This window comes from Homo sapiens, chromosome 1 (genome assembly GCF_000001405.40).
Source record: "Homo sapiens chromosome 1, GRCh38.p14 Primary Assembly".
Classification (NCBI taxonomy): Eukaryota; Metazoa; Chordata; class Mammalia; order Primates; family Hominidae; genus Homo; species Homo sapiens.
In genome coordinates, this window is record NC_000001.11 from 16,311,473 (window position 1) to 16,337,143 (window position 25,671).

At 42.9% G+C, this 25,671-nt stretch overlaps 1 protein-coding gene across 5 annotated transcripts in view; it reads right to left on the reverse strand.

The window, feature by feature from the left end:
- The window catches only part of FBXO42 (F-box protein 42), a 105,641-nt gene that overhangs the window by 64,633 nt on the left and 15,337 nt on the right, over positions 1-25,671 (reverse strand). For 2 of the 5 annotated variants that reach the window (NM_018994.3, XM_047422752.1), the window contains exon 2: positions 3,697-3,963. In NM_018994.3, coding sequence (NP_061867.1) covers positions 3,697-3,946 — 250 coding nt within the window. In that variant the 5' untranslated portion in view covers positions 3,947-3,963. Of the gene's footprint in view, positions 1-3,696; positions 3,964-4,964; positions 5,256-17,235; positions 17,378-25,671 lie in introns of all 5 variants that reach the window. The other 3 variants (XM_047422747.1, XM_047422750.1, XM_047422751.1) reach the window with 3 other exon arrangements.

Sequence of the window (25,671 nt, forward strand, 5' to 3'; positions counted from 1 at the left end):
GCAAGATCTTGTCTCAAAAAAAAAAAAAAAAATATATATATATATATATATATATACATATGTATATATAAAATAAAAAATGGGTCAAAGACCTGAAACAGACACTTCACCAAAGAAGGTATGTGGGTAACACATAAGCGCATGAAAATACGCTCCATATCATTTGTCATCAGGGAAATGCAAATTAAAATGAGATACCACTACACATCTATGAGAATGATGAAAATTCCAACTACTACTACAAATGCTGGTGAGAATGTGGAGCAAAAGGAACTCTCATTCACTGCTAGTGGGAGTACAAAATGGTTCAGCCACTTAAAACAGTTTGGCAGTTCCTTACAAAACTAACGATGCTCTTACCATATGATCCAGCAATTGTGCATCTTGGTATTTATTTACCCAAAGGAGCTGAAAACTTATGTCCACAGAAACACCTGCACATGGATGCTTACACCAGCTTTATTAATAATTGTAAAATCTTGGAAGCAACTAAGATGCCCTTTCAGTAAGTGAATGGGTAAACAAACTGTGGTGCATCTAGACATGAAATATTACTCAGCACTAACAAAAAAAAAGCTAAGAAATCATGAAAAGAAATGGAGGAAGCCGGGCACGGTGGCTCACACCTGTAATCCCAGCATTTTTGGAAGCTGAGGCAGGAAAATCATTTGAGCTTAGGAGTTTCACACCAGTCTAGGTAACAGCAAGATCCTGTCTCTATAAACATTTTTTTAAAAAAATTACACAGGCATGGTGGTGCACACCTGTGGTCCCAGCTATTCTGGTGGCTGAGGAGGGAAGATGACTTGAGCCCGGGAGACGGAGGTTGCAGTGAGCCAAAATCGCACCAATGCACTCCAGCCTGGGCAACAGAGCATGACTCTGTCTCAAAAAATAAGGAGGAAACTTAAATGCAAATATTACTAAGTGAAAGAAACCAATCGGAAAAGGCTGTATACTGTATGATTCCAACTATATGACCTTCTAGAAAAGGCAAAACTATGGAGACAGTAAAAAAATCAGTGATTGCCAGTGGTTGGTGGAAGGAAAGGATAAACAGGGAGAGTATACAGGATTTTTAGGGCAGTGAAGCTATTATGATATTATAACAGTGGATATGTGTCATTATACATTCATCCAAACCCATAGAATGCACAACACCAAGCATGAACATTAATGTAAACTATGGAATTTGGGTTTATGGAATGTTTCAGTATAGGTTCATCAATTTTAACACATGTACCACTCTGGTGGGGGATGTTGATAATGGGAGAGGCTATACATGTGTCAGGGTAGGGGATATATGAGAAATCGGTTTTGTTTTGCTTTTTTTTTTTTTTGAGACAGAATCTCTGTCTGTCATCCAGACTCGAGTGCAGTGGCTCGATCTTGGCACACTGCAACCTCTGCCTCCCAGGTTTGAACGTTTCTCCTGCCTCAGCCTCCCGAGTAGCTAGGACTACAGGCACCCACCACCATGCCTCACTAATTTTTGTATTTTTAGTAGAGATGAGGTTTCACCATGTTGACCAGGCTGGTCTTGAACTCTTGATCTCAGGCGATCCGCCCACGTTGGCCTCCCAAAGTGCTGGGATTACAGGCGTGTTCCACTGTGTCCGCTCAGAGGAATTTGTTTCTCCTACTCAATTTTGCTGTGAACCTAAAAGTGCTCTTTAAAAAAAAAGTCTACTAAAATTAAAAACAAACAAACAAAACTATCTTGTCAGTGACTTCTGCCAGAAAGATCGATCTAAGATTGTGAGTACTAGGGTAGGGTTCTTCTCTAAATAAAAATAAAAAAAAAAGAAAGAAAAGAAGAAAGAGAGAGAAAGAAAGAAAGAGAAAAGAAAACAAAGAAAGAAAGAAAGAAAGAAAGAAAGAAAGAAAGAAAGAAAGAAAGAGAAAAGAAAGAAAACCAAAATAAGACTGCCAAAGAAAACCTAAGGATAAATTCATATATTTGATTAAATCACAGTCCCTTACCTGTGGTTTTCCTCCCTTTATTTGAGAAGTGAAACCATGTATTTCCACATTGCAGGGAGCCAATCTCTCCTGAAGAGCCCATCAACTCAGAATATAGAAGCAGGCTGTGTGTGCCAGTATTGGCAGTTATAATCAAATGAGCACAGGGCCAACAGAGCAGTTTCAATACAGCTGGTTCTTAGCCCTCTAGGTGGACTTTGGGAGTTGACAAGGACTCCATGAGAACCACCTTGATGCAAGGAAAACATTTTAAAACTGATTGATTTTGATCTAAAGATTGTTCTCTGTTATATCTCTGGCTGCCTTGTTCCCCCAGGAAAGAACACATTGAGACAACCCTCGCTTGATAAAAAATGACTCCACTTGATTGATCATCTTCAAACAAAAAATGGGCCCTTTCCACTTAAGATGCAATGAAGCCACTAACTGCTTTCTGCTAATTAAAAATACAGCATGTCTAGCACCTAAACATTTAGCAAAAAGTTGAAATCTTGATTAGGAAAAGGATGAAAAAAAGGACCAGAGTCTTGCTCTGTCGCCCAGGCTGGAGTCCAGTGGCGTGATCTTGGCTCACTGCAACCTCTGCCTCCTGGGTTCAAGCAATTCTCTTGCCTCAGCCTCCCGAGTAGCTGGGATTAGGTGCCCACCACCACACCTGGCTTATTTTTGTATTTTTAGTAGAGACAGGGTTTCACCATGTTGGCCAGGCTGGTCTCGAACTTGACCTCAGGTGACCCACCTGCCTTGGCCTCGCAAAGTGCTGGGATTACTGGTGTGAGCCACCACACCCGGCCAAGAAACATATTTTAAAAAGTAAAAGATGTATATAGGGTCTTTGCTGTTTAGAGATAAAATCAAGTGACAAATGTTTTCAAGAAAGCAGTTGCTAAAAGTAGCTACTCAGAGACAATCTGTAGCCTTAATAAGAGCATGGACTTTAAAGCCAGATCGCCTGAACGTGAATCTTTAATCCTGCATTTACTATCCGTGTAAATAAGTTAACTGTGTTTCACTCAGTTCTGTCATCTATAAAATGCAGGATCTTCTAGTCAGAGTTTGCTGTGAGAATGTAAAGCAGTTACAATAGTGCTTGACACGTGATAAAAGCTATGTTCACATTGGCTATTACTATTATCCCATATCCATTTCTATTTTGCCCATTCAAGAACAATACAATTAATCCATTTGGGACGCTGAGGCGGGCGGATCACGAGGTCAGGAGATTGAGACTATTCTGGCTAACACAGTGAAACCCCGTCTCTAGTAAAAATACAAAAAATCAGCCGGGCGTGGTGGCAGGCGCCTGTAGTCCCAGCTACTCTGGAGGCTGAGGCAGGTGAATAACATGACCCCGGGAGGCAGAGCTTGCAGTGAGCCGAGATTGCGCCACTGCACTCCAGCCTGGGCGACAGAGTGAGACTCCGTCTGAAAAAAAAAAAAAGAAAAGAACAATACAATTAACCAGATCAACTCTAAGAATATGAAGCTTTTAAAAACAATCCTCATTTTAAAATGCAAATGGGATTAGATACTTCAGTATTCAAGCTGTTCATTAAACTAACCAGGGTAAGAAAGAAAACCGGGTAGTATCGTCTAATGCTAGATTTTATAACCATAATACATTTAAGGGAGGAAAAAAACTAAATTTGGAGTCTAAAAATAAATCAGTGAAATTTGAAATCAATAAATAAACCTTTCTCCTATCCACAGTACCTTTGATAAGTCGATACCACTGTTTGCAGACAAGGGCCGCAGTTTTGTGTTCCTGATACGGTGAGAGAAAGGACAGGATATACTCCAAAACCTCTTCTGGCAGCTCCGACATGGACCTATTATGTCTAGTCTCCTCAGCCTCCAATACTGGGTGGGGCTCCTCATCTTGATCCATTGTCCCTTCCAGCACAGTTTCTTCCTGGTCCACAGCCATGAAACTGTCATCTTCACTGTCCGAGGAGCTGGCCATGACATTCCACTCAACAGCTGTAATAGGTAAAACATAAATATCAGTATTCCACTGAAAGCAGCTCAAAAACAATTCAGGCATGTACATCCAAGCTCTTTGTAATTTCGTTTCCACTCTCAGTGTGAAATCTGCTCTTCAGCACTTTCCAATACCACTTGTGAGCCACCTTAATTCGACAGGTACAGCTCAAATACCAAGCCCATCCCCAAAGGCTTTTGATTACATTTTTTCTCTTCACTGAAAACCAGAGTGGCAGCCAAGTTCTGGTATAATCGTAAACCAGAAAACTTGTTCTCCAACAATTCTTCTAACTCAAGGATCTGACTGACCGACAGCAAAGGGAAGAGCAACTAGCCTCCTTGGCCAGTAACAATGATCTAAGACCTCAAATTTTGAAGGAAAAACTAACTCTGGGTCTTGCAAAAAGTAATAACATTCTGAGAATATGGGTTAAGAAATAACCGTTTTTCGACCAGGCATGGTGGCTCAAACCTGTAATCCCAGCACTTTGGGAGACCGAGGCGGGCAGATCACCTGAAGTTGGGAGTTTGAGACCAGCCTGACAAACATGGAGAAACCCCGTCTCTACTAAAAATTGAAAATTAGCTGGGCATGGTGGCACATGCCTGTAATCCCAGCTACTCGGGAGGCTGAGGCAGGAGAATCACTTGAACCTGGGAGGCAGAGTTGCAGTGAGCCGAGATCATGCCACTGCACTCCAGCCTGGGCAACAAGAGCAAACCTCCATCTCAAAAAAAAAAAAAAAAAAGAAAGAAAGAAAAGAAAGAACAGTTTTTCTAAACTTTTATGCAAGACGATTCACTTAACCTTTTTCCTGTTTGCCCGGAGAATACTTGCCAGCGGTGCCTGCAACTGTGGTGTTTACCCCGAGATAACTTTGCCACAAAATATCTCTTTTGTTACTGTTTTCACATCGCTCTAGTACATCAACTTTAGAAACAAAAGACATCATTCTATTTATAGCATTCTGTTTTTAATAGTGGTTATTTCCACTTACAAAATATAGTAGTTCTTGGTTGGGTGCAGTGGCTCACACCTGTAGTCCCAGCACTTTGGGATTCTGAGGCCGGCAGATCACCTTAGGTCAGGAGTTCGAGACCAGCGTGGGCAACATGGCGAAATCCCATCTCTACTAAAATACAAAAATTAGCCAGGTGTAGTGGCGCGTGCCTGTAATCCCAGCTACTCAGGAGGCTGAGGCAGGAGAACTGCTTGAACCTGGGAGACAGAGGTTGCAGTGAGTCGAGATCATGCCACTGCACTCCAGCCTGGGACACAGAGAAAGACTCTCAAAAAAAAAAAAAAAAAAAAAAAAGATAGTAAATGTTCCAAGAATAGACTTCACTTGCTAAAATACCAAATACAAGGCAGTATTTACAATAGAAAATATGAATCATTAAGAGATCCAGGCAGTAAAAAACTAGAACAACATGAATGTCTATCAACAACAGAGCAAATAAATTGTGGTACATTCGCCATGAAATATAGAGCAAAGAACCACAGGTTATATACATATAAATAAATCTCTCAAACATAATGTTAAGCAAAAGAAGATAGAAGGCCGGATGCAGTGGCTCACGCCTGTAATCCCAACACTTTGGGAGGCTGAGGCGGGCGGATCACCTGAGGTCAGGAGTTCAAAACCAGCCTGACCAACATGGTGAAACTCCGTCTCTACTAAAAAATACAAAAATTAGGCCGGGCGCAGTGGCTCACACCCGTAATCCCAGCACTTTGGGAGGCTAAGGTAGGCAGATCATCTGAGGTCAGGAGTTCAAGACCAGCCTGGCCAACACAGTGAAACTCCATCTCTACTAAAAATGCAAAAATTAGCTGGGCGTGGTAGCGTATGCCTGCAGTCCCAGCTACTAGGGAGGTTAAGGCATGAAAATCACTTGAACCCAGGAGGTGGAGGTTGCAGTGAGCAGAGATCACTCCGCACTCCAGCCTGGGCAATAGAGTGAGATCGTCTCAACAAACAAACAAACAAACAAAAATCCAAAACTTAGCCAGGCTTGGTGATGCATGTGCCTGTAATCCCAGTTACTTGGGAGGATGAGGCAGGAGAATCACTTGAACCTGGGATGCAGAGGTTGCAGTTAGCCAAGACTGGCCACTGCACTCCAGCCTAGACAATACAGCAAGACTCCATCTCAAACAAGCAAACAAACAAACAAACAAACAAACAGAAGACAGAAGAATGGGCAGGCACAGTGGCTCATGCCTATAATCCCAACACTTTAGTAAGCCAAAACAGGAGGATCATTTGAGGTCAGGAATTTGAGACCAGCCTGGGCAACAAAGTGAGACACCATCTCTACAAAAAAATAATTAACCGGGTGTGCTGGCACACATCTGTGGTCCCAGCTACCCAGGAGGCTGAGCAGGAGGATCACTTGAGCCCAAGAGTTTGAGGCTACAGGAAGCCATGACCACACCACTGGACTCCAGCCTGGGCAACCGAGTTAGACCATGTCTCGAAGAAAAAAAAAAAAAGAAGAAGAAGAATATATACTATACGATTACAATTATATCAAGTTCAAAACGAGGCAAAATTTATGCTGTTACAAGTGAGGTATCTGAGGTACTAGTAAAGTTCTGTTTCCTGATTGGGTACTGGTTACACAGATGTTTTTTGTTTGTAAAAAATTTACTGAGCTGAATACTCACGCACTTCTCTAAAGTTTGTCAAAATACTGGCCGGGTGCAGTGGCTCATGCTGTAATCCCAGAACTTTGGGAGGCCTAGGCGGGTGGATCACCTGAGGTCAAGAGTTCGAGACCAGCATGGCCAGCATGGTGAAACCCGTCTCTACTAAAAACACAAAAATTAGTTGGGTGTGGTGGCACACACCTGTAATCCCAGCTACTCGGGAGGCTGAGGCAGGAGAATCGCTTGAACCCAGGAGGCAGACGTTGCAGTGAGCTGAGGTCGCTCCACTGCACTCCAGCCTGGGCGACAGAGCAAGACTCCGTCTTAAATAAATAAATAAAGTTGCCAAAATAAGCCATTATCAGCAGTTACTTCTAGTGGGAATATTATTAATAATTTTAAAAATGTCTTGCTTCTGCTTATCTGTATTTCCTAAATTTTCTACAAAGAAAGCATACACATAGAGGCAGGCATCTCATTTATACTCCTATGACATTATACACAAAGTCTGAGGTAAAACCAGTAAAATGAAGGAAATAGGGTGTTTTATGTAAGAACTGTGTTGCAGATTAGATTCTCCAGGAAGCAGATGCTAGACAGAATTCAGAATGGAAAAAGTTTAATGGGAAGTAACTTCTGGAAGAAGTGCAGAAGCAGCAGGATTGGGCAAGAGGAGCCATCAGACCACAATGCAGACCTGACAAAGCCTGTCCAACAGAGAGCTCGGGAGCAAAGACGGCCACTCAGGGGAATCTAGTACTGGGCAGAAAGGGCAAGGCTCTAAATCACTGCTTCGCTCAACCACTGGCAGAAGGCTCCAAAGCTGAGGCAGACCCTAAAGGAGCTAACAGCTTCAGCCAGCCTCCTTACAGATGGACAGTAAGTCCTTTTGAAGGGATAATTTTATTATTTTTTAATACATTTATTTCTCTTGCTCCACACACTCTACCCAGACCATTTACTATGCCACCCCACTTTACAAATTTCCAGCATTCCCTCTAGCACTGATGAAAGGAAGAATAAGAAGGGTCTTCCCAAAATTGGGAAAAGCTGGATTTGGCGGGGGGTGGGGAAGGAAACGAAGAGTAATCTCGAAATATACTTTGGGGCTTTGAGAAAGATCTGAAATGTTCCAAAAAGTGACAGACCGGGGAGAGCAGAGAACAGAAACCTCCTACCTCATCTCTACCACTGCAGTAATTCATGCACTAATTATGTGTAACATCTTTTAAAACTGGAAGAATCACATTAAGGAAAATGAAAACATGAACTCATAAAATTGCTTCCCAGATAATTTATCTACCAAACTGGCTGAAAGCTTATGATACTACAAATGTTTCCTAGCAAAGTGGCTATTAGAATCTTAGTGATAATCAGCAAATTGGTGGCTACTTGGAAGGACTGGAGTGGCTTAAGTCCACCTGGTGGTATGGGGGAAAGGCACTGACAGTGAGAAAGGAGCAATTCCCTTCATTCCCCAAAAGCAGAGAAGAGTATTATAATGGGTTTCCTGAAAACTGTATTAGAAAAAGGATCCTAGGCCAGGTGTGGTGGCTCACGCCTGTAATCCCAGCACTTTGGGAAGCTTAGGCAGGCGGATCACGAGCTCGGGAGTTCGAGACCAGCCTGGCCAATATGGTGAAACTCCGTCTCTACTAAAAATACAAAAATTAGCCGGGCATGGTGCCGTGCACCTGTAGTCCCAGCTACTCGGGAGGCTAAGGCAGGAGAATCACTTGAACCTGGGAGGCAGAGGTTGCAGTGAGCCGAGATTGCGCCACTGCCCTCTAGCCTGGGCAACAGAGTGAGACTCCATCTTAAAAAAAAAAAGAAAAAGAAAAAGAAAAAGGATCCTAGATAGTTATGCCTCTTTCCATGCTCACGTGGGTAAGGTGTTTTTCAACATGACTGACTCGCTAGAGGGAGGCCTTTCAAACAACAGAGACCTCCATTTCCAGCCCAAATTCCTATCCTAAAACGTACAGTCGCCGAGCATGGTGGCTCACGCGTGTAATCCCAGCACTCTGGAAGGCCAAGGCAGGCAGATCACCTGAGGTCAGGAGTTCAAGACCAGCCTGGCTAACATGGTGAAACCCCGTCTCTACTAAAAATACAAAAAACTAGCTGGGCGTGGTGGCACATGCCTGTAATCCCAGCTACTCGGGAGGCTGAGGCAGGAGAATCACTTGAACTGGAGAGGTGGAAGTTGCAGTAAGCCGAGATCATGCCACCGCACTCTAGCCTGGGCAACAAGAGCAAACTCCATGTCAAAAAAAAAAAAAAAAAAATCAAACCATGCCTTTTATTACTGGAAAAAATATCACTTCCCATAGTCCCTCTTACTTGTTCCCTTATATATTATCATTTCCTACTGGCTAACTTCACTGATTTATTAACTTTCATATATATTTTTTGTTTTATTATTTTTTTGAGATAGGGTCTCACTCTGTCACCCAGGCTGGAGTGAAGTGGCACGATCTGAGCTCACTGCAACCTCTGCCTCCCAGGTTCAAGTGATTCTCCCACCTCAGCCTCCCAAGTAGCTGGCGCACATCACTATGCCCAGCTAATTTTTTTTTTTTTTGAGATGGGAGTCTCGCTCTGTGCCCCAGACTGGAGTGCAGTGGCATGATCAAATTTTTGTATTTTTGGTAGAAACAGGGTTTCACCATGTTAGCCAGGCTGGTCTCAAACTCCCGACCTCAAGTAATCCACCGTGCCCAGCCTAACTTTCTTATATTTTTAACCTCCACTCAGCTCTAAATTCACCAAGGAAAAGAGCCCAAAGAAATGGATTCCTTGACTTTGGCTGCATGGTTGACATTTAAATTAAATAGTTGCTCCCTTGCACAACATTTTGACAGACTATAAGCCTAAGGTCTGTTGCAGAACAAAATGAATCAATGGAGGCTGCAAAAGTTTATTTACATTACTATTTTTCCCAATCAGAATAAATTTGATTCAATAAAACAACTCATTCTCTTTCCAAATTGTCTTAAAATACAATAGCAAGCCAACATAAAGAGACTCATACTGCTGTAATAGCCAATGTCAAGCAATTTCCACCATTCAACTGTTACACCCTCCACAAAAACATCAAACCCCATACCTTTGAGGGCATGTTTGCTAACTTGGCCCTAGCCACAGATGCCAAGGAGAACACACATGGGTGAGCTCAGATGCAATTCCTCTGTAATTACATGCCCAACACCAATTTGCATAGCCCTTCTTTTTCACTTCCATGATTAGGTAATAAAATCATCACTCATATTCCCCCAAGGATATAGAGGCATTTTGAAACTCTGAGTTTTTCTTGTTTTCATGCCAAAAGAAGCCCTACAAACTTTTCACACGTAAGCATACTAACTCAATGAATGTAATTTTCATGAAACTGTTTAAAAGAAGTCCTTCTCACCCTTCACATTTGTGTTACACCTTCTCAGCTTCCCCAACGTGACTGAATGAATGTACTGGAATCTGAACTCCCTGGAGGCAGGACCATTGGCCTAGGCATCTTTGTCTTCTTAGTACTAGGCATTCAAATGAGTGTAAGGTTTATTGACATGTCTACTCAGAACACCTTTGTGCTGAGCTCGCAAGGGTTTTTTTTTTTTTTTTAAAGATAGGGTTCTGCTCTGTCGCCCAGGCTAGAGTGCAGTGGCACAATTATAGTTCACTGCAGCCTTGAACTCCTAGGCTCAAGTGATCCTCCTGTCCCAATGTTCCAAAGTGCTGGGAATACAGGTATAAGTCACTGTGCCCAGTAGTTATTTTATAATAGAAATTACATCATTAGGCCAGGCGTGGTGGCTCACGCCTGTAATCCCAGCAATTTGGGAGTCCGAGGTGGGTGGATCACCTGAGGACGGGAGCTCAAGACCAGCCTAGCCAACATGGCGAAACCCTGTCTCTACTAAAAACACCAAAAATTAGTCAGGCGTGGTGGCAGGCGCCTGTAATCCCAGCTACCTGGGACATGTAAAAAAAATTACATCATTAGTATATCCAGAAAATGGTAGATCCTACCTTTATATGTTACTAGATGTTGTCAAAATATTTTATTGGTCAGAATTAATACAAATCTCTGGTTTATGGAATTTTGTACCTTTTAAGGTATATATACTGGCCTGAGAGTCTGCTGCCAGAGAGGAAACTATTTATTTGGCCCAGTAGTATCTTTTTCTTCCGAAAAACTACTATACTAGGCCAGGCGTGATGGCTCACACCTGTAATCCCAGCACTTTGGGAGGCTGAGGTGGGTGGATCATGAGGTCAGGAGTTCAAGACCAGCCTGACCAACATGGGGAAACCCCGTCTCTACTAAAAATACAAAAATTAGCTGGGCGTGCAGGCGCATGCCTGTAATCCCAGCTACTCAGGAGGCTGAGGCAGGAGAATTGCTTGAACCTGGGAGGCGGAGGTTGCAGTGAGCTGAGATCGCACCACTGTACTCCAGCCTGGGCAACAGAGCGAGACTCTGTCTCAAAATACAAAAAAAATTTTAAAAACTAAAAAAAAAACTATGCTACATATAACTAAACACAAATCAGTTTCTAAAGTCTGAATGCCTTACCCTTCTGAGGTATAAATTAAGGTTAAGATTTTGAGACTGGAAGATGTGGCCACTGTTTCTAGCTTTAATGCTGTGAAACCTAGCATAAGTCACACAGAGTAAGAAACAAAAACCTCCCTAAGTAATGAAAGTTCCCCACTTACTTCAGGAAGATTTTGTAAAGATAGTAGATATCAAGAAACTACTCTGAATTCATTGGAGAAAATCCGTAACCTAGAAAGAATCAACTCAAAAGAATTTCAACATGGGAATGAAACTGCTATGCATTTAAAAGCCATTGCCAGATTTGAGGGCAATATTTGATTAGTTTTTTGCCTTTGGTTTCTATTCAACTAGACATCTGACAATCCTCTTGTGGTAAACACATCTTTATTAAAGTTGGAATACACTTCATTTACCTAAAAGGAAGCTGAACATTTAAAATGCAATCAAACGTATTTGTCACAAATTCAAAAGGTTAAAAAATGTAATTGGCCAGGCACAGTGGCTCACGCCTGTAATCCCAGCACTTTGGGAGGCCAAGGCGGAGGAATCACAAGGTCAGGAGTTTGAGACCAGCCTGGCCAACATGGTGAAACCCCATCTCTACTAAAAATACAAAAAATTAGCTGGGCGTGGTGGTGGGCACCTGTAATCCCAGCTACTCGGGAGGCTGAGGCCAGAGAATCGCTTGAACCTGGGAGGCAGAGGTTGCAGTAAGCCAAGATCGTGCCACTGTACTCCAGCCCAGGTGACAGTGCGAGACTCCGTCTCAAAAACAAACAAACAAACAAAAAAAGTAATTAAGGGAACTTCTTACCGATAGATAATAAAATAAAGGACTGAGACCTAACTAAAGAATAAGGGACAGGGCCGGGCGCAGTGGCTCACGCCTGTAATCCCAGCACTTTGGGAGGCTGAGGTGCGCGGATCTTTTGAGGTCAGGAGTTCGAGACCAGCCTGGCCAATATGGTGAGACCCCTACTAAAAACAAAAATTAGCCAGGCGTGGTGGTGTGCACCTGTAATCCCAGCTACTTAGGAGGCTGAGGCAGGAGAATCCCTTGAACCCAGGAGGCGGAGATTGCAGTGAGCCGAGATCGTACCACTGCACTCCAAGGTGGGTGAGGTGACAAAGCAAGACTCTGTCTCAAAAAAAAAAAAAAAAAAAAAAAAGAATAAGGGACAAGAAGGAGGAGCAGAGAAAAATAAAAAGAAGAAGGGACTGGACTGAATGGAGGAACCCACAGTCATCCCACAGCATGAGGGCTTCTGAGGCTTTAGGGACAAAGCAGCAACCCTGAACAGATGTCATTATGAACTCATAAAGTGAACCACTTCAGCAGCACTAATGTAGGCTAAGTACTAAATGCTACTCTTGAAAATATACTGTTGAATGAGAGATTTAAAGAAGATCATAAAGTGATTCAATCTAAGACAATAAGCCTTCTTATGAATATACCACGGTTATCATTTTATCAACTCAAATGAAAAAGTTATAGAAAGTAGAAAAAGGATAAAATAAAAAATTCTACCTTACTCCGTGCATTCAACAAATATCAATGAAACATTTGCTATATGTAAAAATACCGTGCTTATTGCAAGCTTGACTGCTATCAAATATTAAAAACACAAAAAGAAAAAATATATTATGCTTAGATCCCACACAGGGTACAAAAAGAAGATATGTCACTATTTGCTGTCAAACAGATGGACCCACTAAGGGCCAAGGACACATAAATTAATAATACCAACACAGAACATTATATAATAAATGACCTATGAGACAAAACAAGAAGCCTTAACAGTTCAAGAAAGAAAGAGATGGCTTCTAACTAGTATAAGGAAGGTTCACAGACAAGCATTTCAGCTGAGCTCTAAAGACTAGGTAGAAGCCAAGTGTGGTGACTCATGCCTGTAATCCAAGCACTTTGGGAAGCCAAAGCAGGCAGAAAACTTGAGTCCAGGAATTTGAGACCAGCCTGGGCAACATGACAAAACCCTTCTCTACAAAAAATACAAAAATTAGTTGGCCATGGTGGCGCACACCTGTAGTCCCAGCTACAGGGGGTCTGAGGTGCGAGCATCGCTTGAGCCCAGGAGTTAGATGCTGCAGTGAGCCAAGATCGCGCAACTACACTCTAGCCTGGGTGACACAGCAAGACTCCGTTTCAAAAAATCAAAAAACAACAACAAAAATAAAGAAGAGGTAGAATTTCAGAGAATAAAATTGGGGAAGGTGAAGGGATTAAACATTGTCAAATTATTGTAACTTAAACTGATATCCTTTGCCACTTACAGAATTACCTTTAGAGCTGGGTGCAGTGGCTCACACCAGTAAACCCAACACTTTGAGAGGCCAAAACAGGCAGATTGCTTGAGCCCAGGAGTTCGTGACCAGCCAAAGCAACAAAGTGAGACCCTGTCTCTATAAAAAATACACAAGTTAGCCAGGCATGGTAGTGCAAACCTGTTGTCCCAGCTACTTGGGAGGCTGAGGTGGGAGGATCTCTTGAGCCCGAGAGGTGGAGGCTGCAGTGAGCCAATATCATGCCACTGCACTCCAGCTTGGGCAACAGAGCAAGACTCTGTCCCAAAACAACAACAACAAAACAGAATTACCTTTAAGACAAAACAAAACTAAACTAAAAAACACATTTTTTACCCAATTGTTTTTAAGTACACAGTTTAATATTTTAAATTCTACATTAACGAAGCATATAATCTAGAGACTCCTTATTATTGACAGTCTATGTTTTGACCAAAAAAAAAGCCTAGAAATAGAATAATTTGGCATAACCATTGTTGCTATTAGCAAACTGTGAGCTATTATGACAAATTCAGGAAGCTATTTTATAAAGCATACCAAATTTCATAACAGATACCAGCTGCAGTTTTTAAAAATGGTGAACTCATTAGTGTGCTACCCAATTAAGATTCCCTTAATAAAACAGAAAAAATTTAAAAATGGAAAAATAAAGTATTCCACAAACTACCCATCAATATACTTTCTTTTTTTTGTTGTTTTGTTTTTGAGAGAGTCTGGCTTTGTCACCTAGGCTGGAGTGCAGTGAACTCACTCGAGCGATTCTCCTACCTCAGCCTCCAGAGTAGCTGGGATTATAGGCATGCGTCACCACGCCCAACTAATTTTTGTATTTTTAGTAAAGACAGGGTTTCACCATGCTGGCCAGGGTGGTCTCAAACTCCTGACCTCAGGTGATCTGCCCACCTCGGTCTCCTAGAGTGCTGGGATTACAGGCGTGAGCCACCACACCTGGCCGAAAATTTCATATGGAGAACCATACGTTTTAAATTCAGCAAAATGCTTTATTTGGTAGAAAGGTAAAATGGAACTTCAGTGCCCAAATTTGTGTGTGTGTGTGTGTGTGTGTGTGTGTGTGTGTCTGTGTGTGTCTGTGTGTGTTTTGAGATGGAATTTCGCTCTTGTTGCCCAGGCTGGAGTGCAATGGCACGATCTCGGCTCACTGCAACCTCCACCTCCTGAGTTCAAGCGATTCTCCTGCCTCAGCCTCCCAAGTAGCTGGGATTACAGGCATGCACCAGCATGCCCGGCTAATTTTGTATTTTTTCGCAAAGACGGGGTTTCTCCATGTTGGTCAGGCTGGTCTCGAACTCCCGACCTCAGGTGATCCATCTGCCTGGGCCTCCCAAAGTGCTGGGATTACAGGCATGAGCCACCGTGCCCAGCCTCTTTATTGTTAATACAACTACTCGAGTTTTAAAATTTCTTCTTGAGGCCAGGTGCAGTAGTTCATGCCTGTAATCCCAGCACTTTGGGAGGCCAAGGCAAGTGGATCACTTGAGTTCAGGAGTTCAAGACCAGCCTGGGCAACATGGTCAAACTCCATCTCTACAAAAAATACAAAAATTAGTGGGGTGTGGTGGTGCACACTTGTAGTCTCAGCTACTCAGGAGGCCGAAGTGGGAGGATCACTTGAGCCCAGGAGGTAGAGGTTGCAGTGAGCCAAGATCACACCACTGTATTGCAACCTGGGCAACAGAACCAAACCCTGTCTCAAAAAAAAAAAAAAAAAGAAAAAAATTATTCTTGAGTTAATTCTGATAGGTGATGTTTTTTCTAGGATTTATAAGTCATCTAAAACACGTAAGCCAGAATCAACTACACCTTTCATTACTCACATAATTTAAACAAACAACTAATAAAACATGGAGATGAGCTACATAAATGTCATCTAAGTAATGGCTAAAGGCCCTTAAACAAGATAGGTCTGCTCTGAAAACATTCAGTTTACTATGAACCATTTAATCTTCCTAATCCCAAAAGGTGTCAACCAGGAAGCCTGCTCACTTACACAGCACCATCTCTCTCTCACCATCTCTCTCTATGACCCACTTCTAAATGTCATTTTAACTTCCTTTTTTCCCCATTAGAGTGTACACTACTTGAGAGCAGAGACTAAGCCATATTATCTTTGTACATCTGGCACATTAGTAGACACCTTAACAATATCGGTACTTTTTTGATGAAGATCATAAAGTACCTTACTGACGAGGGATGTTAATGACTCACTTACGGTTGCAAAGTATACTCTTGAGGTGTTCAGTGTTGAAAGACTTCACTGAACCGTACTTTCACATGGCCTTGCTTATGACCAAAAGCACAAAGCCATCTGTAAGACAGTTCATCTTAGTTGGGAGTAGAGCATAAAATGTATTTTTCTTCACTGACGAATTAACTGAAATAAAAACAAATCTTAAGCAAAGGCATAATTACACTTTTATGTAAATGTGCAATACTGTCAGAAGCCTAGCTGAAAAACCAAAAAGTAAAACAAAACAAAAATGCTAACTTTTAATCGTGGTAAGTCCCAGAAGAAAAACATTAAAAGGAGTTCAAAATTAGAAAGATAAATAGATTCAGAGTTAAAGATAGAGCCTAAACTATTTTGCCCAAACCATTCAATTCTTTAAAGCATTTTAAAATCCAAGTAACACAGAAAAGTGACCATCCTAAGAGTAGAGCTTGATGAATTACTGCAAAGTAAACACAATCTCATTTATTTTAAGATGGGAAAGTTTTTGTTTTGTTTTTTAAGACGGAGTCTCGCTCTGTTGCCCAGGCTGGAGTGCAATGGTGCAATCTCTGCTCACTGCAACCTCTGCCTCCAGGTTCAAGCGATTCTCTCACCTCTGCCTCCCAAGTAGCTGGGACTACAGGCACACACCACCACACCCAGCTAATTTTCGTATTTTAGTAGAGACTGGGTTTCACCATGTTGGCCAGGCTGGTCTCAAACTCCTGACCTCAAGTGATCCGCCCACCTTGGTCTCCCAAAGTGCTGGGATTACGTGTGTGACCCACTTTGCCCAGCCAGGACAGTCTGAAACAATCAAAATGATAGACATATCCAAGTCACGCAGCTTATACTGACAAGTGCCACTGTGAGAAATTCCAAGGTTTTCTATAAAACTGGTAAGACTCAAAGCTCACAACCCACATTTGTCAAAACCCACAGCATCAAAGAGTGAAATTTAATACATGTAAATTTTTAAAAAAAACCACTTACTCAGGAGGCTGGGGGATCCTAGATTATGATAAAACAATCCAACTATATTACAAATATATGAGACCACCTTGGGTGGAGGAAAAGGTGTAACCTAAGTAACTTTGGAAATAAGGGGCATCTATAAAACTAAAGGCAAAAGAAACTTCATATAAGCACTAGTCTCTACTTGACAAAGTTGTTTCTCACAAAAGCAGAGGCTAACAATACTAATCTAGCTATACATGTATATTGGCATTGAACGATTAAGTAAATAGTTGGCAGATGGCTAGACCAAATTTTCTTATTGGAGTGGGAATTTACAAATAGTCAAGGAAGGAAGATAGAATGATCCTGTGATAATGGATTAGAGTGGGAGACAGGATGAACTCATGTTTAAATAGATACAGATGGTTACATATAAATATTTACAATTGGTGCATAATATACACACACACACATATATACATGTGTTAGTATACACTCATCTACCACCTTGTTCTGTTAACTGCAAGGGCCTACAAGTAATAAGCATACCTAGCACCCAGAAGTTCTTTCTAATACCGTTCTCCAATAAAAGAAACCAGGGCTCCTTGGTGAAACGGCAGAATCTAGGAGGACAGGAAATATATAAGATGAGCCTGGAGAATCCAGTACTGCCACAAAGTAAGGAAGTGCCCTAAAAACAAAACAAAAGAAAATTGATGGGATTGGCCGGGTGCGGTGGCTCACGCCTGTAATCCCAGCACTTTGGGAGGCTGAGGCGGGTGAATCACAAGGTCAGGGGTTCGAGACAAGCCTGACCAACATGGTGAAACCCCATCTCTACTAAAAATACAAAAATTAGCTGGCCATGGTGGCGGGTGCCTGTAATCCCAGCTACTCAGGAGGCTGAGGCACGAGAATTGCTTGAACCCAGGAGGCGGAGGTTGCAGTGAGCTGAGATTGTGCCACTGCACTCCAGCCTGGGCAACAGAGTGAGACTCTGTCTCAAAAAAAAAAAAAAAAAAAAGAAAATTGATGGGATTGTGTAAAAGGGGCAAAGGAGGCAGATGAAAGAGCTCCTGATGGTCAAAACTGAAACAACTGGGCCATAAAATAAATTGGTATTGGATCAAAACCCCAAGTACAGGCCAGGTGCTGTGGTTCATGCCTGTAATCCTAGCACTTTGGGAGACTGAGGCGGGTGGAGTGCCTGAACTCAGGAGTTCGAGATCAGCCTGGGCAACAGGGTGAAACCCCGTTTCTACTAAAATACAAAAAATTAGCCAGGCGTGGCGGTGTGCGCCTGTAGTCCCAGCTACTTGGGAGGCTGAGGCAAGAGAACTGCTAGAACCAAAGAGGCAGAGGTTGCAGTGAGCCAAGATCGCACCACTGCACTCCAGCCTGGGAGACAGAGAGAGACTCCATCTATAAATCAATCAATCAATCAATCCCAAAGTACAAAATGAATATCCACAAATTCATATTGATATAACTGATTAAGAAAAAAAAAAAGGCTGGGTGCGGTGGCTTATGCCTGTAAACCCAGCATTTTGGGAGACCGAGGCAGGCAGATCACGAGGTCAGGAGTTTGAGACCAGCCTGGCCAACATAGTGAAACCCCATCTCTACTAAAAATACAAAAAATTAGCTGGGCATGGTGGTGCGCACCTGTAAGCCCAGCTACTCGGGAGGCTGAGGCAGGAGAATTACTTGAACCAAGGAGGCAGAGGTTGGAGTGAGCCAAGATCTTGCCATTGCACTCCAGCCTGGGAAACAGAGCAAGATACCATCTCAGGGCGGGGGAAACAAAAAGGGGGGAATCTCCCCTGCAGATTTCCAAATAATTCGTGTATGTACGTTTTCCTCTCACAGTAGTAGAGCATAATTTCCCCTACCTTCCTAACTTGTCTCCACCTAGGTGAAGTTATTATATTATTATCACACAATGTAGCTAGACACTAAGCTAGTTTTACAATGGACAGAAAGTAATTTCATTCCTGCATACCTTGGGCAAATAAAACTTTCTGTGTATCTATGTCAGAAAATTCATAATGGGGAAATGAAGATTAAAAAATTTAAAGTAGGCAGGGTGCAGGGGCTCATGCCTGTAATCCCAGCACTTTGAGACGCCAAGATGAGAGGATCACTTGAGCCCAGGAGTTCAAGACCAGCTGGGGCAACACAGACTAGGCCCTGTTTCCACAAAAAAAATTTAAAAATTAGCTGGGTGTGGTGGCAGCTACTTGGGGGCTGGGGTGGAAGGATGGCTTGAGCCCAAGAGGTGGAGGCTGCAGGGAGCTATGGTCTTACCACTGCACTCCAGCCTGTGTGACAGAGTGAGATCCTGTCCCCCACAAAAATTAATTTATTTGGCCAGGCACAGTGGTTCATACCTGTAATCCCAGCACTTTGGGAGGTTGAGGCAGGCAGATCACAAGGTCAACAGATTGAGACCATCCTGGCCAACATGGTGAAACCCTGTCTCTACTAAAAATACAAAAATTGGCCAGGTGCGGTGGCTCACGCCTGTAATCTCAGCACTTTGGGAGACCGAGGAGGTGAATCACCTGAGGTCAGGAGTTTGAGACCAGCCCGGCCAACACTGTGAAACCCCGTCTCTATTAAAGATACAAAAAATTAGCTGGGCATGGTGGTGGGCACCTGTAATCCCAGCTACTCAGGAGGCTGAGGCAGGAGAATCACTTTAACTCAAGAGGCGGAGGTTGCAGTGAGCCGAGATCCTGCCATTGCACTCCAGCCTGAGCAACAAGAGCAAGACTCTGTCTCAAAAATAAAATAAAATAAAAATACAAAAATTAGCTGGGCATGGTGGCGCGTGCCTGTAGTCCCAACTACTGGGGAGGCTGAGGCAGGAGAATCGCTTGAACCAGGAGGCGGAGGTTGCAGTGAGCCAAGACAGCGCCACTGTACTCTGGCCTAGTGACGGAGTGAAACTCCATCTCAAAAATAATAATAGGCTGGGCATGGTGGCTCACGCCTGTAATCCCAGCACTTTGGGAGGCCGAGGTGGGCGGATCACGAGGTCAGGAGTTCAAGACCATCCTGGCTAACACGGTGAAACCCCGTCTCTACTAAAAATACAAAAAATTAGCCGGGCATGGTGGCGGGCGCCTGTAGTCCCAGCTACTCAGGAGGCTGAGGCAGGAGAATGGCGTGAACCCGGGGGAGGCAGAGCTTGCAGTGAGCCGAGATCGTGCCACTGCACTCCAGCCTGGGCGACAGAGCGAGACTCTGTCTCAAAAAGAAAATAATAATAATAATAATAATAATAATAATTTAATTAAAAAGTAAAAACCGGCTTGGTGCGGTGGCTCATGCCTGTAATCCCAGCAATTTGGGAGGCCAAGGTGGGTGGATCACCTGAGCTCAGGGGTTCGAGACCAGCCTGGCCAACATGGTGAAACCCTGTCTCTGCTAAAAATACAAAAATTAGCCCAGCCTGGTGGTGGGCACCTATAATCCCAGCTATTCAGAGGCTGAGGCAGGATTTTCACTTGAACTAGGGAGGCGGAGGTTTCAGTGAGCCGAGATCGCACTACTGGGCAACAGAGCAAGACTCAGTCTCAAAATAAATAAATAAATAAATAAATGCAGCCAGGCGCGGTGGCTCATGCCTGTAATCCCAGCACTTTGGGAGGCTGAGGCGCGCAGATCACCTGAGGTCAGGAGTTCGAGACCAGCCTGACCAACATGGAGAAACCCTGTCTCTACTAAAAATACAAAATTAGCCAGGCATGGTGATACACGCCTGTAATCCCAGCACTCGGGAAGCTGAGGCAGGAGAATCGCTTGAACCTGTGAGGTGAAGGTTGTGTTGAGCCGAGATCGTGCCATTGCACTCCAGTCTGGGCAACAAGAGCAAAACTCCATCTCCAAAAAAAAAAAGAAAAAGAAAAAGTATATGATATCAGTTGCTGGTTATATCTCATTAGCTTTAATAGTTAGTCACTTCTGATACAGCATATGTTTTGTTCATTCTGGGATAACAGATTTAGGACAGGGAAAAACAAGTGAAATAAAAATGTAATCCCCTCTTTGCCACCTTTGATAAATTTAATCACATACACTGAGAGCTTTGCTTGCACTTAAAAATGACAGTAAATTTATAGGTTAAAATTTTAAAATTGTTCCAACAATGGGAGGCACATTGTTATTATTACCATTGCTATAGTTGAATGAAGGAAGATTAAATATATCTATTATTCTCCAAAAAAAATGCTTATGGAATTGATTAAAAGATTTAATAAATGACATTGCTATATTGTGATTTAGTAAGCAAATAAAGTTATCCTCCTGGAGGTTGGAAAATAAATCTTACTTGGTTTAACTACTCCTATTAACAATGTTTCAACTAATGAATTTCTTTTCCTTTTTTTTTTTTTTGAGACGGAGTTGTTCTGTCACTCAGGGCTGGAGTGCAGTGGCACAACCTCAGCTCACTGCAACCCCCGTCTCCAGAGTTCAAGTGATTCTCCTGCCTCAAGCTGCTGAACAGCTGGGATTACAGACATGTGCCACCATGCCCAGCTAATTTTTGTATTTTTAGTAGAGATACAGTTTCACCATGTTGGTCAGGCTGGTCTTGAACTCCCGACCTCAAGTCATATGCCTGCCTCGGCCTCCCAAAGTGCTGGGATTACAAGTGTGAGCCACTGCGCCTGGCCTCGACTAATGAATATTTTTGATAAAATGAATAAAATTATCAGGCAATAGTGACCAAAGCATGTCATGAATTTAACAATGAGAAGAGTAGTGGCTTTTTCCAACAGATTTCAATTCAGTCATCTGAAGTACTTGTTTGTGAAATACCTTAAACTCCTTTCTCATTTCTAGTCTCTGCTCTTGCTGGCCATCCCCTCTTGCAGAAATACCGTACTCCTACTTGCCAGTAGGACAAATTCCTACTCTGCCACGTAAGAGTTACCTCTTCTTGAGGTTCTATCCCCTCCAGCCAATTAAGTATTCCTCTGACCTTCTATTCATTTTGTACAGTATCTTCATTATCTCAAAGTTATATAAATATTTGTTGAGAGAGGTGGCCTACAAGACGTAAGCCAACATTAGATAAATACTAGAGATAGTTTCTACTTTTCACCACTTCATAAGTTACAATTTTGCTTATTAACCACTTGCCTAATTAAAACCCACATTAAGAGCCAGGAGTGGTGGCTTATGCCTATAATCACAGCAACTCAGGAGACTGCCACCAGAGGATCGCTTGAGGCCAGGAGTTCGAGACCAGCCTGGGCAAATAGTGAGACCCCCCCCCCCCATTTCCAAGAAGAAAAAAAAAATGCTAGGTATGGTGGTGTGCACCTGTAGTCCCAGCTATGTGGGAGGCTGAGGTGGGAAGATCACCTGATGATTGCACCACTGCACTCCAGCCTGTGACAGTGCAAGACGATCTCTTAAAAAATTAATTAAAATATGAAAAAATAAAATCCACATTTTACTTCTCATTGCTATGGCTTCCAATAAAGTCAAGACAAGGCAAGAGCACTAAAGCAATCAAGATGCAAAAATGCACAGCCACGAGTTTGCTTTAAGGAAAATATGCCTTAAGATGTGGTGTCCAGAAATGTGAAAATTGCCAATACCAATTGTCTTTTTATGTGTGTTGAATCATACTGTATTTCAGATGGGTAGTGTTATGGCTGAAAACTGTTAATACTAGTTCAATTTTAACAGTCAGCATTTAAAGGGATGGAATCCAGAAAACTAATTTCCATCTCTGACCTTCTATAAATTTGCTATGATCTCAGGAAAATTGATTTTGCATACTGTATCAACTGTACGGTAAAAATAATAATCCATCAGAAACTTCAAAAGGCTATATTCTGTACCATTTCTATGAAAATAAGTGATGACTGTGCAGAATACAAATATATTCAAAGATAGCTTATAATATGAAATTCAGCTACCAGACAGAAATATGGGGAGGACAGAAGTGTTCACTTCATTTAAGACTGATTCTAGGCCGGGCCCGGTGGCTCACGCCTGTAATCCCAGCACTTTGGGAGGCCAAGGCGGGCAGATCATGAGGTCAGGAGATCGAGACCATCCTGGTTAACACGGTGAAACCCCGTCTCTACTAAAAATACAAAAAATTAGCCAGGTGTGGTGGCGGGTGCCTGTAGTCCCAGCTACTCGGGAGGCTGAGGCAGGAGAATGGCGTGAACCCGGGAGGCGGAGCTTGCAGTGAGCGGAGATCGAGCCTGGGCGACAGAGTGAGACTCCGCCTCAAAAAAAAAAAAAAAAAAAAAACAGACTGATTCTACAGATAAGACTAATGACCTGAGAACACCTCCCTGGCACTTGGAGCAAAAGGCCAGTGATATGGTCTATGTTAAACAGTCCACTTTTCAATAATGTTTAAAATAACCCACAACTAACAACATAATTTCACTGCTTCATGTTTACTATTCTGTATCAGTTTACAAACTAAAATTAAACTGACACACACTTAACAGAATTCCCGACAACACAATAACATTACCATACAAAAGATAATACCAAGGTTGTTATGAGTTATCTAGTTCTCTGTTACTTCCTTAATGCTGTAAACTACAAATCAGAACCCCAAATAGGAGAAATGCTAAATAGAAAGTACATAAAGATGACTCATACAGGCAAACAGGTATGCAAAAACATTCAAAGTTCTCTCATTCTTAAACACTGAAATTCCTTAAAGCAAATACAAATTAAATGGAGTTCTAGAAGGGTAAACAGTGATCCTTAGTATCAGGAAGAAAAAACTATTTTAATAATGGCCACGCGCAGTGGTTCACACCCGTAATCCCAGCACTGTGGGAAGCCAAGGTGGGCGAATAGCTTGAGCCCAAGAGTTCAACACCAGCCCTGGCAACACAGCAAAACCTCGTCTGTACAAAAAAAAAAAAAAAAAAAAAAAAAAAATTAGCCAGGCTTGGTGGCTCTGTCTCAAAAAAAAGAGAAAAGAAAATAAATAAAATTACCAACATGGTGGCTTGTGTCTGTATCCCAGCGACTCAGGAGTCTGAGGTGGGAGGACTGTTTGAGGCCAGGAGTCCAGCTGGGGCAACATGGTGATTCTCCTGCCTCAACTTCCCAAGAAGCTGGGACTCCAGGTGCACACCATCAAGACCAGCTAATTTTTTTATTTTGTAGAGCCAGGATTTCGCCACATCGCCCAGGCTGGTCTCAAACTCCTGGGTTCAAGTGATCCTCCTGTATTGGCATCCAAAAGTGCTGGAATTACAGGTGTGAGACACCATGCCCCCGGCTCATATCACTTCCTAACTAATCTGCCACAATTAGAGAGAATTAGCTGGTTTCCCACTTCCTTCCTTCTTCCTTCTTCAATCTATTCTTTATTTCGCTGTAGTATTAAACTTCATGATGCAAATCTGGATCAAAAACTTTTGACTGGGCCAGGCACAGTGGCTCATACCTGTAATCCTACCACTTTGGGAGGCCGAGGCGGGTGGATCACCAGAGGTCAGGAGTTCGAGACCAGCCTGGCCAGCATGGTGAAACACCATCTCTACTAAAAATACAAAACATTAGCTGGGCGTGGTCGTGGGCACCTGTAATCCCAGCTACTAAGGAGGCTGAGGCAGGAGAATCGCTTGAACCTGAGAGGCAGAGGTTGCAGTGAGCTGAGATCACGCCATTGCATTCCAGCCTGGGTGACAGTGCGAGACTCCATCGCGCCAAAAAAAAAAAAAAAACCTTTTGACTGTTTTAAGGCCTATTCTTTAAAATTCAAGGTTTTTAAATTTTGTTTTGTTTTTGAGATGGAGTTTCGCTCTTGTTGCCCAGGCTGGAGTACAATGGCGCAATCTCGGCTCATTGCAACCTCACTGAACACCTCCTGGGTTCAAGCGATTCTCCTGCCTCAGCCTCCTAAGTTGCTGGGATTACAGGCGCCTGCCACCATGCCCGGCTAATTTTTCTGTTTTTAGTAGAGATGGGGTTTCACCATGTTGCCCAGGCTGATCTTGAACTCCTGACCTCAGGTGACCTGCCTACCTCAGCCTCCCGAAGTGTTGGGATTACAGGCATGAGCCACCGCGTCTGGCCTAATCTTACTTTTTGTGTGCCTCTCCTCACTCTGGTCTATTCCTCTCTCCTTCAGCCAAATGATCGTAATATTCTCTCTTCCCACCTCTATGATCCTTTATTCTTGCTGCCCTTTTTTGTTTGTTTTTGTTTTTTTTTTGAGATGTAGTCTAGCTCTGTCACCCAGGCTGGGGAGCAGTGGCGTGATCTTGGCTCATTGCAACCTCCACCTCCTGGGTTAAAGCAGCTCTTTGCCTCAGCCTCCTGAGTAGCTGGGATTACAGGCAGACACCATCACGCCTGGCTAAGTTTTGTATTTTTAGGGGAGAGGGGTTTCACCATGTTGGCCAGGCTGGTCTTGAACTCCTGACCTCAAGCAATCCACCTGCCTCGGCCTCCCAAAGTGCTGGGATTACAGGCATGAGCCACTGTCCCTAGCTGGGCCAAGGTTTAATTTGGACATATTCATAGAAGAAGGATGTCTGGGCTGGGTGCGGTGGCTCACGCCTATAATCCCAACACTTTGGGAGGCTAAGGCAGGTGAATCACCTAAGGTCAGGAGTTCAAGACCAGCCTGGCAAACATGGTGAAACCCCGTCTCTACTAAAAAATACAAAAAATAGCTGGGTGTGGTGGCAAACGCCCGTAATTCTAGCTACTTGGGAGGCTGAGGCAGGAGAATCACTTGAACCCGGGAGGTGGAGGTTGTGGTAAGCAGAGATCATGCCATTGCACTCTAGCCTGGGCAATAAGAGCGAAACTCTGTCTCAAAAATAATAATATAAACATTTCTGCAATTGGACTGTCTTTCCAAACACAAGTGCACATATTTTATCTAAAATAGTTTCAGCTAAGAGTGCACAGCAAAAACAACTGTCCAAAGATAAAAGAACAACCAAATCATTAGGTACTCAGAGGAAATCTCAT